The 16261-nt window shown below is 43.5% G+C and overlaps 1 protein-coding gene and 1 pseudogene across 2 annotated transcripts in view, besides 2 other annotated features; one reads left to right on the top strand and one right to left on the bottom strand.

The window, feature by feature from the left end:
* IRAK3 (interleukin 1 receptor associated kinase 3) overlaps positions 1–16261 on the bottom strand; it is a 65409-nt gene that overhangs the window by 8418 nt on the left and 40730 nt on the right. For both annotated transcript variants that reach the window (NM_007199.3, NM_001142523.2), the window contains 3 exons: positions 1521–1719; positions 1195–1257; positions 943–1107 (listed from right to left, as the gene is read on the bottom strand). In NM_007199.3, the coding sequence (NP_009130.2) occupies positions 943–1107; positions 1195–1257; positions 1521–1719 (427 nt within the window). The remainder of the gene's footprint in view (positions 1–942; positions 1108–1194; positions 1258–1520; positions 1720–16261) is intronic.
* Positions 10714–10993: a silencer, noted in NCBI's record as "silent region_4637". NCBI's record gives its function as "represses an Ori minimal core promoter by ATAC-STARR-seq in GM12878 lymphoblastoid cells {active_cell/tissue: GM12878}" and the evidence as "EXISTENCE:reporter gene assay evidence [ECO:0000049][PMID:35858748]".
* On the top strand, positions 10979–13189 carry RBMS1P1 (RNA binding motif single stranded interacting protein 1 pseudogene 1; annotated as a pseudogene).
* Positions 11054–11133: an enhancer, noted in NCBI's record as "active region_6615". NCBI's record gives its function as "activates an Ori minimal core promoter by ATAC-STARR-seq in GM12878 lymphoblastoid cells {active_cell/tissue: GM12878}" and the evidence as "EXISTENCE:reporter gene assay evidence [ECO:0000049][PMID:35858748]".

Below are 16261 nucleotides of genomic sequence, written 5' to 3'. Positions count from 1 at the left end.
GCCTAAATCCAACCTGTTTTTCAGATCTTAGCTAAACCGTCATATCTATCAAAAAGCTTCCTTAACTTCCATGGGCTGGTGTGTATTCTGAATTCATGCTCCACGGCAACCTGGCCTTCTGTCTATCATCATGTTTCTCTTGCTGGACCAACATTCTATGTTTACTGATCTGACTCCTCTTAACAGTGAGCTTGAGGGTAGTCATTGCATCTTGATCACTGATATATTCCCAGCACCCAATACAAAGTCTGGCACACACAGAGTAGGCATTATTTGTTTATTTGTGCAAATAAACAAATAAATGAATGGGTGATTAAGTCTATGGATAGATTAATAAATTTAAAAAAATGGATAAGGAAAATATATGCTGCATTTATAATGAGCCAGATCTCTTAATGAAGACTGAACACTTTGGGAGGCCAAGGCGGGTGGATCACTTGAGGTCAGGAGTTCGAGACCAGCCTGGCCAACATGTGAAACCCCGCCTCTATTAAAAATACAAAAATTAGCCAGGCGTGGTGGCTCGTGCCTAATAATCCCAGCTACTTGGGAGGCTGAGGCAGTAGAATCACTTGAACTGGGGAGGTGGAGGTTGCAGTGGGCCGTGCCACTGCACTCCAGCCTGGGCAGCAGAGTGAGACTCTGTCTCCAAAAAAAAAAAAAAAAAAAAAAAAAGATTGAATAAAATATTCCCTGCAAACTGCTCATTTATGTCTTTACATTAAATTTTTTGTGGAGTCTTGGTTCCACCTAGAAATGACCTCTAACAGAGTACCAAATGATGTGGCTTTTTGACCTGGAAACACTATTATGTTGGAATTCTCTGTTGGAGGCTGGATTTGTCTCATTAACAAATAATTCACTTAGATACACAATTTATCTAGTTTAGATTTTCCATGGTTCTGTGGGCTCAGTTTTGAATAAAACCATGTATATACTCACTTCATCCATTGATGGTCTTAACTTTGCCCGCGTTGCAGCACACCGGCCTGCCAAACAGAAGAGCTTGGCAGAGAAATTCCGAGGGCAGGGAGGCACTTTCTTATCTAGAAATGAGAGACATGAATCCAGGCCTCTCTTCTCCATCAATTCTCTAAGGAGATCCCGCTTGGAAGAGAGGGAGACAATTTTATCACAGAGAACTTGATCAAAAAATGACCAAGAGATAGGTGCCAGGATGAAAACAATTCTTACCAGCTGGATATGTTTTGGATCATCTAACACTACTCTACATCCTGTTAGAACTTCCATTATTACCTACAAGGAATATATAGAAAGTCAGCTATATATCTTAAAAATATACACACAATTTGTTGCAACTATTAACCATGACTATGAATATAGTTCATTCTGATTAATGATTTTATATTTTATTAATTGCTTGATTACACAAAATTAATATATAAGATGAGCTAACAGGAAATCAATGAGTCAAAAGTTAAAACTCTTTAAAAAATTCTTAGAATCTAGAACATTCTTGGCAATAAACTCTCCTTTGTTAACTGGCAGTTGGTACTCACAATTCCAAAGCTGTAGACATCTGTTTTAATGGAAAGTTTCCCCTGTCTGATGTACTCTTCTGGCATGTACCACAGATGTTTACTGCTGCTGCTGGTCATATTTATGGTACAACTCTGATGTTCTAGGTGGGACCGGAAGTGTGCCATGGCAAAATCAGTTAGTTTGGGTTGAAACTGATCATCCAAAAGGATGTTTGCACTAAAATTGTGATCAGGGACAAACAAGACAAAATATCATAAAGGCACTTCAGTGTAAACAAACATACTATAAACTCACCTTCTTCATATCTGGTTAATTCGAAACACTGTCAAAATAAAGCCAAACAAATTTCCATGAACTGGAGAACATTCTTTCATTTTTCTTAATGTACAAATCCAAGTGTTATCTGCAACCTAGAATAAAAACCTGACCTATGAACAGTGGGCATTTCAAACTTAAAGATACATATGTGAAGTTGCTGGATAAAGCTGATGCTTTCTCACTAAGAGAAACTGAAGTTAACCAAAACAGCTTTCCTTGTGCTTTTCTTACACTTACGGAGAACATGAACTGAGTTTTAATCAGCTGATTATGTGTCTGTTATGTGCAAGAGCTGTGCTGTGAAATGCTTAGCTTATGAGCGCAGAGCCACTAACTTGGAATGATTTGAGGACTCTTTGGTAGTCCCTGCCCTCATGGCAGCCCTATCCCATGGTTTCATCTCTGTTTTTTGGTCTTTGAGTCTTATTTAAAATACAAATGTTTGCAGAGACAAAGGCAAAGTGCTTATAGTCAATATAAGCAGTTGTCACATTAAAAACCTTAAGAATCATCTGACATTTTGGCTGGGGGTAGGCATTGGCTTACTTTTACCTTCAAAGGGCTGTCAAAGCAGGAACCGGAAAGGATAAGCCAAGAGAGAGATCCATTTCCCACTGCATACAGCCAGGAGCTCTGCCTTTCCCTGGCTCCATGACCACCCACAGTTTCCTTCGCCATGTAAGCCTCAGTGCCCTCTCTCCTCTCATGTGAAATGAGGAGAACAGAACTCTGGCAGGGGGAAAACGAAGTGCATAGTGTCCTCCCCAGCACTTGGTAATGCTCAAAAAATGGCAGCTAGGAGGAAGATTAGTAATCAATTCTAAGAGAACAGATGGATATTGAGAAGGAGGTGGGGCAGCCAACAGAAAGGCATGCAATTCCCAGCTTTGCTTAGGGCTCTTCAGAGCTTGCTCTTTATTTCCTGAAACCAAAGCATCTAATAGTACACCTTCCCATCCAAAATGCCAAGAGGCATATTTGTAGTACGACATGCTGTTACTAAAAGTGCTACAGCAACAGCCACGGGATATCAAGAAGTTCTTAATTCTGAACAAATTTTGGATCTTACAAAAGCTCCAGAAGTCTTTGCTATCCCTATACAGGTAGGTTAACGGGCAGGCCCCAGTTCCATAGGTCTGAACTGCAAGTGTTCTTACTGTTCAGAGGACTCAGAGTCCTACTTCTATTTAGAGAGTTTGGGGGAAACAGTTCAATGTATGAAGCTAAGGCCTTAAAGATTCTAGTCCAGACTTTGTCTAGGGCTGAGTTGACAACAGAAAAAACAAAGGCACTTCCGGTGGTCTTTTTTTTTTTTTCGAGACAAAGTTTCATTCTTGTCCCCCAGGCTGGAGCGCATTGGCACGATCTCAGCTCACTGCAACCTCTGCCTCCCGGGTTCAAGTGAGTCTCCTGCCTCAGCCTCCTGAGTAGCTGGGATTACAGGCGCCTGCCACTACACTCGGCTAATTTTTAGTAGAGATGGAGTTTCACCATGTTGACCAGGCTGGTCTTGAACTTCTGACTTCAGGTGATCCACCCGCCTCGGCCTCCCGAAGTGCTGGGATTACAGGCATGAGCTACTGCGCCCAGACCCCGCGGTCTTTTAAGGATAAAGACACATTTTAAACTTTATTTCACTCCTCCTTCCGCTAAGGGTGGCAAGGGAATTGTAAAATCCAAAAAGCCCACCTTCTGAGCTCTAGGGCCTCTTATCAGCTGTGTGCTCTTAGCATTTATGGAAGGAAGGTCAGAGAGGCCTGGTTCCCAAGGCTCGTATCAATGAGCACAGTTGTCATTTCTCTCCTTGCCTTCTCCCTTCTCCCTGGAGAACCCAGCAGCTGCTAAAGCCAGCCTGGGCCTCACACACCCCCATCTGTCACTCCTCACCCACTCTTACTTTCTCACTTGGAGAACTGTTGACTATCCTGACATACCTCAGATGAGGAACAGACTAGAGTCAGATCCGACTTCTCTCCAGCTCTAGATAAGAAGAGACTGTCAGTTCATAATCACTTCTTCCCTAGGTTGACTCTTCAATGGATCAGATCAAGTCTGAGGCTCCTGGAGATGCCCTGAGGGTTTCAGAGTCCTGGGGGCATTTGAATGCAGGAGTTTGCCGGTGGGCCAGGAGGCGAGGTGGGAAAAAAAGGTTCTCCAACCTTCATTGCCAGGACCCCACCTTCTGCCCTTCAACTTTGGAGTCACTTCTGCATGCCCCATTTCATTTCAGCACAGGGGGAGGGTGGGAATGTTCTGAATGGCAGATATTCAATGTCAAACACCTAAACATCTTCCTCTATCACAGCTCTAAAAAAAGGCATAGAATTATAATTGACAATGCCAGAATCATGAGACTGCAAAAGCTGAATTTTTGAAACACACACACACACACAAAAAAACCCTGAATCTTTTAAGTACAAAAAGGGAGAAAAGAGCAACAGTAATAACAACAAAACCTTCAATCTAATTCTTTATTTGACCCATAGCAAAGCTGGTGGGATGCTTTCAGCAAATGGTGAGTCAGCTTCTGTGAAAGTTGGGCAGAAGGGAGTTGAGTAACCACAAACAATGCTTACACCATAAAACCCAGAGAGGACTTTGGGTCAGTGAAAGGCCATCAACAAGATGTGAAATTATTCTAGGGTACTGAATTTACAATTTGAATAATGACAATCGGTGAAAAGATAAGTCGTTTTTCAGCTGACTTTAGTGTATAACATAAATTTTGAGTCCAGTGATTTATTCTGTTCTAAATAAAGGTTAGCGGTAGCTGAGGAAGAAGGATGTTCTGTTTTAGGAAAGCGGAAATTGCAAAAGGCCCTTCAACGATCAATTTCTACCTTAATTCTTTTCCCCTGCTTCAACCTTAAATAGAATGTTCAAACACAAAGTGTCTTCAGCTTCCATGCAGGTCAGCTGAGTAAGTTAATCCTGTGGGGTGAAAATAAACTAACAAAATTAAGAACCTAACACAACTACAGTCATGGCAATATCATGCAAAAGGGCAGCCTGCAAGCAACTGTGGCCACCAAAGAGATAGATAAAAGACATCTTTGACCCATATCCATGGTTCATATCCTCAATTTCATGCTTCTACAATCGATTTGTTCTACTCTTTATCACAAGGCTATTTACCTTAACAGAGAGGCCATCCCCTCTCCAGATAATTCCTTTAACAGAATGATCATTGGTTGTACACTGAGGAAGTATGGAGAATCCTACACAGATGATGAGTTTGTAACCTGACTCTAGGATGTTACTTAATCTCTCTATTAGTAGGGGTCTCTAGGACAATTTTCGGGGGGACCTGAATCCCCCAAACAAATGCTACTTTGTAATGAGAATTGCTTTCTTTGCTCACCAGTTTATCTCCTAATTAAGTTCAATCCCTTGGACCTTAAACATAAGACAAGATGCTCCACCTAGATTATAATGCAGGATTTGAATTCAAGTGAAAATACCATATTTGGCATGAAAGAGCATGATTGGTTTTTAAAGAGAGAGAGATATATATACCCACATATATATAATATATATACCGATATATTTTATATATATATATATGTGGGTATATATATAGTATATATATGGGTCCAGCAGTCCAGCGCCTGGGTGCCTGGAAACTCTCAGGAAAGGCCAGGACTCCACAGAAGGACCTGGGGAAGAGGGGGCAGGGAGCCACAGATTGGCTCCAGAGATAAAGAGGACCCAACGGCCCCTCTGGGACAGCCTGAGGCAACAGCACACATGTGCTGTCTGTATTACGGCTGTTGCAACACTGAGACACCCCTCACCAGATGCCCTGCCTCCCCTAACCAGATGAGGCAAGACTCAGTTTCTCCTAGAACCTGCAGGCTACTAAAACAGTTGTGCACCCCACCCCAACTTAAGTGTGCACTGCATCCTGCCTGGAATGCTACAAATCTGAAACCCTTTATTCCCCTGTGGGACTGCGGAGCTTTCTTTTTCATCCCCACTGAACCTAGGCAGGTCTGAGAGACACAGTATTCAAGCTTGTTTTTGCTTGTTGGTGCCTTCTGAGTCTAGGCACTCGGTGCAAAGGCCCAGTAATGGGTGTTCCTCCTTTAATTGTGAAACTCCAAATCTACCCACAACTAGCACAACCCCCCTAAGCCTGTTTCCCTGTTGGTATAAAGATCTGATACTGCTTACTTCACGGGGTTCTTACCAGTATTAAATGAGAAAACGTAAGGAGTGACACTCACAGAGGGCTCAAAGTATGCTTTAAAGGATATAGGCTGGCCATTGTCCATCCTATGTCCATTACCTTACCTTAAAATCCCAAAAGGCTTGGTTGCATGTCTCTAGAAGTCCAAAGACACCAACTCAAGGAACAAAAATACAGGGGGTTGTAGGATGTCCCTGGAAATCTGAGGACCCTTCAGTTAGTTAATGCCAACAAATTGGCTGAGTTTCAAATAGTTCCAGGAAGTTCTGGGCAAACGTATTTTCCAGACATTTTAAGACAATGGAGAGACAGAAAAAAACTGGCATGTACCGTGCATATGTGTATGTATCTATGTATATAAGTAAATGAATGTTGGGGATTAGAGTGGTGGCAAATAGAATTAATAGGGGAAATTTTAATTTATGTCATATTTAATTGTTTTGGCATCCCTTAGAAAAAATCATATTTGGATATTTTAGAAGAGGGGAGGCACTGGGGGAAAACAGGAAAAATCTGAGGAAAAAGAATTATATATATCTAAAATTTTTCTGAAAGATAAAAATAGGCTTTTTGAGGGGGTTATGAGGGAAAGGGAGGAGACTGATTAAAGAATCTTATCAGTCAAACAAAGAAAGACACTTTGCATTCCCTGTAGGCTTTGACATGCCTGTTAAACACTGAGCTGGGCTCCAACCTTCCCGTCTGGGGATAAAGGCAGGAGGAGCCTGGGTCTTCAGGCAAGGGTGTCCTGGTGGCAGGGAGGGGCCAATCTGTGGCCCCCTATGCCCTCTTCCCAACCACTCAGTTTTTCTAGTCTTTTGGAGAGGAAATTACCCATGCACTCACTCACTCTGACCTTACATCTCTGATCAATTTCCATTAAAAAAAAAAAAAAGTCCATTTTGAAGCAAATGGCTTCTTCTTTGTTTCTTTCCTAGACCATTTCCCTTGTATGAAAGACTGTTTCACTTGGCAGGAGACAAATGGCAATACTGATTAAAGAACATGATTTTATAGGAAACATTAGAAATGTTCACCAAGATTATCTCTTTGCTTTGGAAACATTAGCAGGAATGAAATGTCTGGGATGGAAAATGCTAAGGATAAAATGCATTTCCATTTAAAATAGTTCATAAATGTGAAAACAATTAAGCTCACTAAGGGCTAGGAGGGAAATAACAAGGAAGTTTACTGCCTTCAGATGCTTTTAAGTGATCCTGTAAGTCAAAAACATCTTCGTTTCTCCAATAAAAATGTGAGGGTCTTTGGCCAAGAATATAGGCTGCAACTTTTCAAGATTCTTTTCTTTAAGTCCTTTCCTTCTCAAATTCCACCACCTGGAAGCAGGTTTTGTTTTTATAACATTCTCTTTGAAGAGTTCAAATTACTAAGACATTTTTTAGCTAAATAAACCCCCAGACTTGTTGAAAACACCTTGGAAACATGGGCACTGCTTCTCCTGTGGGTGTTTCTGAGCTGTGTCTTTGACAGCTTCTTCCTTAGAAAGCTATCTACTCTCACCGCTTTCCAGGCCCGATCTCCTCTTCAATGCCTCTTGCTTCTGCCAGGAGTCCAATGTCAGCATTTCCAAGTTTCTGCACACTAATTATGCTCTCCTCTCCTTCCCAATTTCCCTGTCTCTGCTGATGACGCCAACATGCTTCCATTAATCCCAGACCTTTAATTCCTTAAAAAGTGCATGATGATTGGACTCACACAAACATGGAATGCAACCTCCCTTTTCCCTTCTACAGCCATGAGACAGAGGCCAGTCACTAATCTCTGTAAGCCTCAGCTTTCTCCTCTATCAAATGGAGATAATAACTGTAATACCTGAACTCAGGCTTGCTGGGAGGATTGCTAACAAGTTATTCAGCAGGCGTTGATGCCAGGTGAAAAGTCTCTGGCTCTCATTGAGCTCTCTCATCTGACTGCAGTCTATCTGCTACCCTTAAGGTATTAGTACTTACTATGCAGTCAGGACAAACTATGCTTTCTGCTGTCTTGGCCTCTCCCCATTCTGTTCCCCTCATCTTGAAAATACTCTCCCCTGCTTTATTTTTATCTGAGTCCTCTCTGCAGCCATAAGATTCACTTCCTCCATAAACTTTTCACTTGACTGCTCCAAATTCCAGTGCTCCTCCTTTCTCCAAAATTCCTGCTGTACAGCTCCAACGACATTGTTTGACACCCACAGGGAGCCCACCTGATGTTGTTTACTTAAGCATAATGTTGAGTCTATAGAAGATACTAAGTAAATATTTGTTGATATAATCAATTATGTAAAGAGGATTTGAAACTGAGGGTAGCCCTAGACTACTCAGTATAGGAATGGTGAATATGTGGCTTAAATGTTGCCATAACATTTATCCTCCCAAAACATCCTCCCATATTCTTGGCAAACATCAAAAATTTAGTTCAGAAAGCACCCACCATAGATTCTCTTTCAACCCTGCATGTGGGAAATCATTATCAATCAATCAGACATGGAACATGAGACAACACTGACTTGTCATCACTGCTATAGAATCCTGCAGAGGAGGTGAATGAGGCCCACAGGGTTGACATGACTTGTTCCATGCAAAACCGCTTAATAGCAGGGCCAGAACTAACACCTAGCCCCACTATTTTTCTGTTTGGTGCTCTTTTGATTTACTATAGTTAACTGAGACATCTTTTTACTCAGCTACTCATGAAAGACTAAGAGACTATTGATTTCAAAGAGAAATGAAATGAGCTTTTATCTCCTTTTTCTTTAGCTGTATATAGATAATTCCAGCGGCAAATGGGCAAGTCACAGGATTTTAGCTCCACAGAAAAGAAGTCTGAATAATGAGAGCTGCACCCAAATGGAGCTGGACCCCCACAACATGCTGGGCCCACCATACAGCAAGGGTTCAAGTACAGGTTGGATGAAGCACTTTTCTCACATTGTGGGGGGATAATTACAGCTCATTGCCAGGCCTGGGTTGTGCTTTCAGTCTATCACCTCACTTCCTCCTCACAATGCTGGGAGAAGGTGGAGCACTGTCACCCCAGTTCCAGATGAGGTAAGAGACTGAGCCTCAGGGGATTAAGTGACTTGCCCAAGATCACAGTGCCAGAAAGTAGAGGAGTAGGGATTTGTACTGAGATCTATGTGACCCCAAAGGCCACACTCTTAACCAGTGATGAGAGACAGGGACAACAACGAGATCGCTAGGGTGGCTGGTAAAGAAGGGGAAGGACAGATGAAAGACTAGGGAGAGGGTGTTTCAGAAAAACAGGCATTTCAGAACTTTGACTAAAACCTGCTCCAGAGTGGGCAGGTGGCTGGAGGCGCCTCCCTAAACATATCTGACCTCATTCTGATTTGGAAGCTGATCAGGGTAAAGCTTGACCAGGATTTAAGAGAATACAGGGTCACGTTCTCCTGTAACAGTCCTAGACTCGTGAGTACAGAGCCCAGTACAAAAATAGGCAGGTGTAATGTCAAAGAATTTGACAGCAACAAGAGGTCACCTTAAGACTGTCTTGGTTGGCTCCGAATGTGCAAGTGCGAAAACTTTTGGCCACTCTCTGGCCACAGAAAGAGAAAAAAGACCTGGGTCTGAACTCAGATTTCTTTTTCTTTTCCTTTTTTTTTTTTAGACGGAGTCTTGTTCTATCGCCCAGACTGTAGTGCAGTGATGCAATTTCAGCTCACTACAACCTCCACCTCCTGGGTTCAAGCAATTTTCCTGCCTCAGCCTCCAGACTAGCTGGGACTACAAGCACAAGCCACTATGCCTGGTTAATTTTTTTTTTTTTTTTTTTTTTTGGTATTTTTAGTGGAGATGGGGTTTCAGCATGTTGGCCAGGCTGGTCTCAAACTCCTGACCTCAAGTGATCTGCCTATCTCAGCCTCCCAAAGTGCTAGGATTATAGGTGTGAGCCACCTCACCCGGCCTGAACCCAGATTTCTGGTGGTCTTCCCACATCCACATCCTCATCCTCATCCTCCCTCCTCCCTGCTGAAGACATGAGAACCATTTCACTTTGCTTTAGACAAAAGATGTTATTCACACTTTGGGCACCAGGCTGCTGAATAATGATTTTCCAACTTTCATTTTAAAAACTATTTTAAAACCATAAAAATGACAGATTATCAAGCTTCTTTACTGATAAAATTAATTACAGAGAATGATTGAACTGATAAGGATTTCATTTAGTAACTTGAGACTGTCTTTTGGAACTTTTTCCAATTAATTGGTTTGAGACAGTAAGGTCTGACGCCAAGTTATTTTTGTCTAATAAATTTTATGTTATTGCTAGACTAGAACATACTTCTTTAAATACAATCTAAAGAACATAAAGAAGTAAAAAAATAAGCCATTGAAAAATAAGCTATAGGTTCTCCAACCAAACAAAACGTTGTTGATATTTCGGTATATTTTACTTTTAATATTTTTTTAATGCATGAATTTGTAGTTATACAAAGTTATAATTATATACTATACGCTACTTTAATTTGGTCTTTTCCACTTAATCTCACTTTATATACATTGTTCCATGCTATTTCATACTATTTAAAAACATAACTTAATAATATCGGAGGACGCGGCGGCGCTGCTCCTCCGCTGCCGCCGGGAGAGTCGGCGACGCCGCCAGCTCCGCGCGCGAACTCCCGTCCATGGCACGCAGAGCGGCGGCTGCCCGAGCTGCTCGAGTCTCGCCCCGCGCCGCGCCGCACTTTTAGACGAGTGCGGAGGGGAAGTCAGCGCGGAGCTGCAGCCCCCGCCGGCCGCCGCCGCGCGGCGAGAGGGAGTTCCCAAAGCTGCCTCGGCCCGGGGCCCGGCCGGCCCCCTCCTTGCGTCCTCCCCCTCGCGGCGAGGCTGCCCCGCGCCCAGGCTGCCCCGCGCCCGCGCCCGCCGCCGCGGCCCGCAGCGATGATCTTCCCCAGCAGCAGCGGCAACCCCGGGGGCAGCAGCAACTGCCGGACGCCCTATCGCAAGCAGCAGTCTCTGGTCCCAGCCCACCCCATGGCCCCTCCCAGTCCCAGCACCACCAGCAGTAATAACAACAGTAGCAGCAGCAGCAACTCAGGATGGGATCAGCTCAGCAAAACGAACCTCTATATCCGAGGACTGCCTCCCCACACCACCGACCAGGACCTGGTGAAGCTCTGTCAACCATATGGGAAAATAGTCTCCACAAACGCAATTTTGCATAAGACAACGAACAAATGCAAAGGTTATGGTTTTGTCGACTTTGACAGCCCTGCAGCAGCTCAAAAAGCTGTGTCTGCCCTGAAGGCCAGTGGGGTTCAAGCTCAAATGGCAAAGCAACAGGAACAAGATCCTACCAACCTCTACATTTCTAATTTGCCACTCTCCATGGATAAGCAAGAACTAGAAAATATGCTCAAACCATTTGGACAAGTTATTTCTACAAGGATACTACGTGATGCCAGTGGTACAAGTCGTGGTGTTGGCTTTGCTAGGACGGAATCAACAGAAAAATGTGAAGCTGTTACTGGTCATTTTAATGGAAAATTTATTAAGACACCACCAGGAGTTTCTGCCCCCACAGAACCTTTATTGTGTAAGTTTTCTGATGGAGGACAGAAAAAGAGACAGAACCCAAACAAATACATCCCTAATGGAAGACCATGGCATAGAGAAGGAGAGGTGAGACTTACTGGAATGACACTTACTTACGACCCAACTACAGCTGCTATACAAAACGGATTTTATCCTTCACCATACAGTATTGCTACAAACCGAATGATCACTCAAACTTCTATTACACCCTATATTGTATCTCCTGTATCTGCCTACCAGGTGCAAAGTCCTTCTTGGACGCAACCTCAACCATATATTCTACAGCACCCCGGTGCCGTGTTAACTCCCTCAATGGAGCACACCATGTCACTACAGCCCGCATCAATGATCAGCCCTCTGGCCCAGCAGATGAGTCATCTGTCACTAGGCAGCACCGGAACATACATGCCTGCAACGTCAGCTATGCAAGGAGCCTACTTGCCACAGTATGAACATATGCAGACGACAGCGGCTCCTGTTGAGGAGGCAAGTGGTCAACAGCAGGTGGCTGTCGAGACGTCTAATGACCATTCTCCATATACCTTTCAACCTAATAAGTAACTGTGAGATGTACAGAAAGGTGTTCTTACATGAAGAAGGGTGTGAAGGCTGAACAATCATGGATTTTTCTGATCAATTGTGCTTTAGGAAATTATTGACAATTTTGCACAAGTTCTTGAAAACGTTATTTATAACGAAATCAACTAAAACTATTTTTGCTATAAGTTCTATAAGGTGCATAAAAACCTTAAATTCATCTAGTAGCTGTTCCCCCGAACAGGTTTATTTTAGTAAAACAAACAAACAAACAGATTTTTATCAAATGTTATGATGCAAAAAAAAAAAAGAAAAAGAAAAAAGAAAAGAAAACTTCAATTTTCTGGGTATGCACAAAGACCGTGAAGACTTATCCAAGTGCATGACCGGATTTTTGTGGTTTTGTTCATTTTGTGTTTAATCTGTGTTTTTTTTTTCCAGCTGTATGAAATGGGCTTTCTGAAGTTTAACTAGTCCGACTTCACCCATGGTGTTCTGTGCTTGCAGTGCGAGTGTTGCTGTAATTCAGTGTTGCCGTCAGTGTCTCTCTTCTTAGCTTTCCGGCCTTTTTTTTTTTCCGAGACGGAGTCTCGCTCTGTCGCCCAGGCTGGAGTGCAGTGGTGCGATCTCGGCTCACTGCAAGCTCCGCCTCCCGGGTTCACGCCATTCTCCTGCCTCAGCCTCCCAAGTAGCTGGGACTACAGGCGCCCGCCACTATGCCCGGCTAATTTCTTGTATTTTTAGTAGAGACGGGGTTTCACCGTGTTAGCCAGGATGGTCTCGATCTGCTGACCTCGTGATCCGCCTGCCTCGTCCTCCCAAAGTGCTGGGATTACAGGCGTGAGCCACCGCGCCCGGCCTGTCTTTCTTTCAATGCAGTGTGAAGTGTCTTATCCTTTTCTATGAATTCCAATTTGCCTTAACTCTTTTGATGCTGTAGCTGTTTCAGTAAAAGTTAGTTCAAACTAATGATGTAGAATGCTTTGACCAGATGAGCTGGTCTATTATGCCTTGTAAAACAGCAGCATAGGGCTTTTAAAAGGTAGTCAATAAAAGTTGCTGAAATTTTGGCTTTTTAAAAATAATAATAATAATAATAATAATAATATCAAAGGGTTAGGATAAAGTCTTTTGTGACTCATCACTCTGAAGCCCAAATACAGAAAAGAAAATAAAGGTAACAGCATCTTCCATTGTTCACTCCTCCAATAAAAACAGAGCCCTGAATTACTCTGGGAAAAGGCCACTGTTTAACACAGATTTTGAGATGTCCTTTTCTCAGCCAATTATCAAAGCCGTACAATAAAACTGCATCCCTCCTAGAAGCTATCTTCCCTTACATAGATTTAGAAAATTAATATGACAAAGGCAAAACAGGCAGGGATTTGGACAGCTCAGTCCTAAAAGCACTGAGCTACACACAGAGGGACCAACACTCAGGGAGGCCTAGGTTTAGAGCACAGTGGAGGATTCATTTAAAAGAGATTCAGGAGGGTAATCTAGGTCAGCCAATCACATCTGGCCGAGGCTGCTGGGGACTGACTGTCATTACCATCTGACAGGTGTTCAGTGGCCCAAATGAACTGAGTTAGTTTCATTCCAGCTTCTAGAGAACAGGTGTGCATATCACCAAACACGAGGGGGAAATCTACTGTTATAGTTGGCACTAATTAACATCTTTGCTGGCAGGCTCAGCAGAAAGGCCAAAAGTTCAATGGCCGTGGAAGGGACTGATTTGCTTTGGAACAGGCAGGGACACATTGATGAGCCCTTGTGAAACCACAGTTCTCAAACAAATGCCCACAGCCATGGATCTCCATACCCTGACACATGCCTGGGTGGGCACATTCTATGGATGGGTTACATTGAAGTCCTTGAACTCTTTGGAACACTCAGAAAGGCAACAATTGTCAGCAGCCCCACCACCAAGTAAAATATAAAATACATTGCTAGATGCATTTCAAGCCTTGTCTCTTCCATAATATTCTTGTTTCTGATCAGATCTCTCTGGGTACTCTGTATCTTTGTTACCTGTTGGGCATTCTGTCTAGCAGTGTTGCTTAAATGATTTTTATAGTTCTGCACATCCAGACAAGTTCCTGGGATAGTGACCTGGAAGAACTGGCCTCCTCTTAAGTTGTGAGACCACCTAAGAGACTCTAGAACCTTTCAGTTTCCACCTATATCCTAGACAAGCTGCAGACTTTCACTAGAGCCCAGCTTGTCAAACCTAGTTCCTCAGCCTAGTCAGAATCCAAAGCTGCATTCCATCCCCTGCTCACCACAGTCCTCATTCTTCTGTAGTCTCACCTTATCTTATTCTCCAACCTTGTCCTTTCTTTTCCAACCAACTGATTTCTCTTGCTTTTACTATATACGTGGCAATTCTTTACTCTGTTCCTTTGAACAAATTATTGCCTCCACCAGGAATATTCTCTCCGCTTCTTTCAACCAATCCACTGCAATGACCCACTTTTTCCAAGACTTGGCTTGGAACTCTCTAACGAGAGGAAGCCTTCTCAGACCAACCACTCAGTGGGCATAGTTACCATTGCACTACACATTTTGTGTTTGTGTTATCTTTCTGATCACCAGGTTGAACCTTCAAGGACAAGACTATTATCATCACTGTCTCTCCCCCTGTGGTCTAACACAATGCTCTGCACACAACAGATGTTCTATAAATATTTGTGAAGTAAGATGAATGGGATTGTCAAGATATTTAATAAACACTTTTTTTTTTTAAAGTAGAGAATGGGGTTTCACCATGTTGGCCAAGCTGGTCTTGAACTCCTGGCTTCACGTAATTGGCCCACTTTGGCCTCCCAAAGTGCTGGGATTATGGATGTGAGCCACCACACCTGGCCAGTAAACATATTAACAGAGAAGTAATTTTTCTTAAACTAGAGCTTAGTCAGTGGGTCCACTTTTCAAACACTATAAATTGACGATAGAGGTAAGAGTGTTAAGTAAAAAGACTGATTGGCCACCACACTACTTGGCCTCTGTCACTGTGCCACTCCCACCACTTCTCAACCAGTCAGGATAGGAATTACCACTGAAGATGTGTGTGCTCTTTGTCAAGGACCTTATGCCATTTAACCCTAGGAGATAGAAGCTATTATTCTACTACTAACATTTTGCAGAGAGGAAGATTGAGGCTTAGAGACATTAAGCAATTTGCTCAGAATCGCATTTTAAGTGGAAGGTCTCTCTGATTTAAACATTAGGGGACACTGAGCTAAGAGAAAAGGATGGGAGGAGGGTGGGGAGCAAACATGTGAAAAAGAAAAATCTTCGAGTCACATTTTTCAGAACTCTGTCCTGTCAAATCTTCCTTCATAGCTGTGGTGGCTGCCATGGTGCACTCTCCCACCATGACTCCACACCGCCCCCCGACCCCTTCCTTCCCCACCCTGTCCTTCCCCACCCTACTTGGCTCCCTCCTTGGGTTCCAGGGAGGCTCTGGTTCCCCAGCAGTAAGAGTTGGCTAAAGATGGCTCACAGCTGAGCCACAGTCTGGGAACTGTCTTGGTAGAAGGGAGCTGCCTCACCCAGCCACATTACTGCTCCACAAGAGGGCTGGTCAGATGCAGGGGTGCAAAGCTCAGAGTGCCCTGCCTGCCTCTGGGATGTCTTTGATGCGCCACCCCAGCTTCAGTGCTTCCCCATGGCATGGACTGAGGCCTCTATGACAATAATATCCCAACTCAACCTCTCCAGCTGCCCAATCCTGCCTTTTTCCTTTCCTCGCTTCATTTGCTGTCCCTGAGAGCCCTCCCTTAAAAACCTCCTGCAGGTAAATCTGTGCTTCTGAGCCCACTTCCTGGACCTACCTGAAGACACGAACCAACAGTGAGAAAGTGGAAATGAGGGCCCAAAGCCTGTGCTCTCACCAAATACCAGCAGAGAGACACTGTTAGGCACATCCAAATCACCTTGCCCAGTTTCAGCTGTGAAAAAGAACGGGACATGGGCAGAGCTTGCCTCTGCCTCCCTCCCTGCCCTGATGCTCCCTTTGCTTCAGTTAGTGACCCTCTGTCCCCATCTCCCATCAAGAGCCAAAACCCCAACACCTTCTCTTTTCTTTCTTCTTCAAACTCTGCATTCAGGAAAGGATTTGATGAACTCAGTCACACAAAAGGAAACTTAA

The sequence above is a fragment of the Homo sapiens genome, chromosome 12, assembly GCF_000001405.40.
Source record: "Homo sapiens chromosome 12, GRCh38.p14 Primary Assembly".
Lineage (NCBI taxonomy): Eukaryota > Metazoa > Chordata > Mammalia > Primates > Hominidae > Homo > Homo sapiens.
The sequence above is the reverse complement of the archived record's forward strand: the minus strand, read 5'-3'. Positions and strand labels throughout refer to the sequence as shown.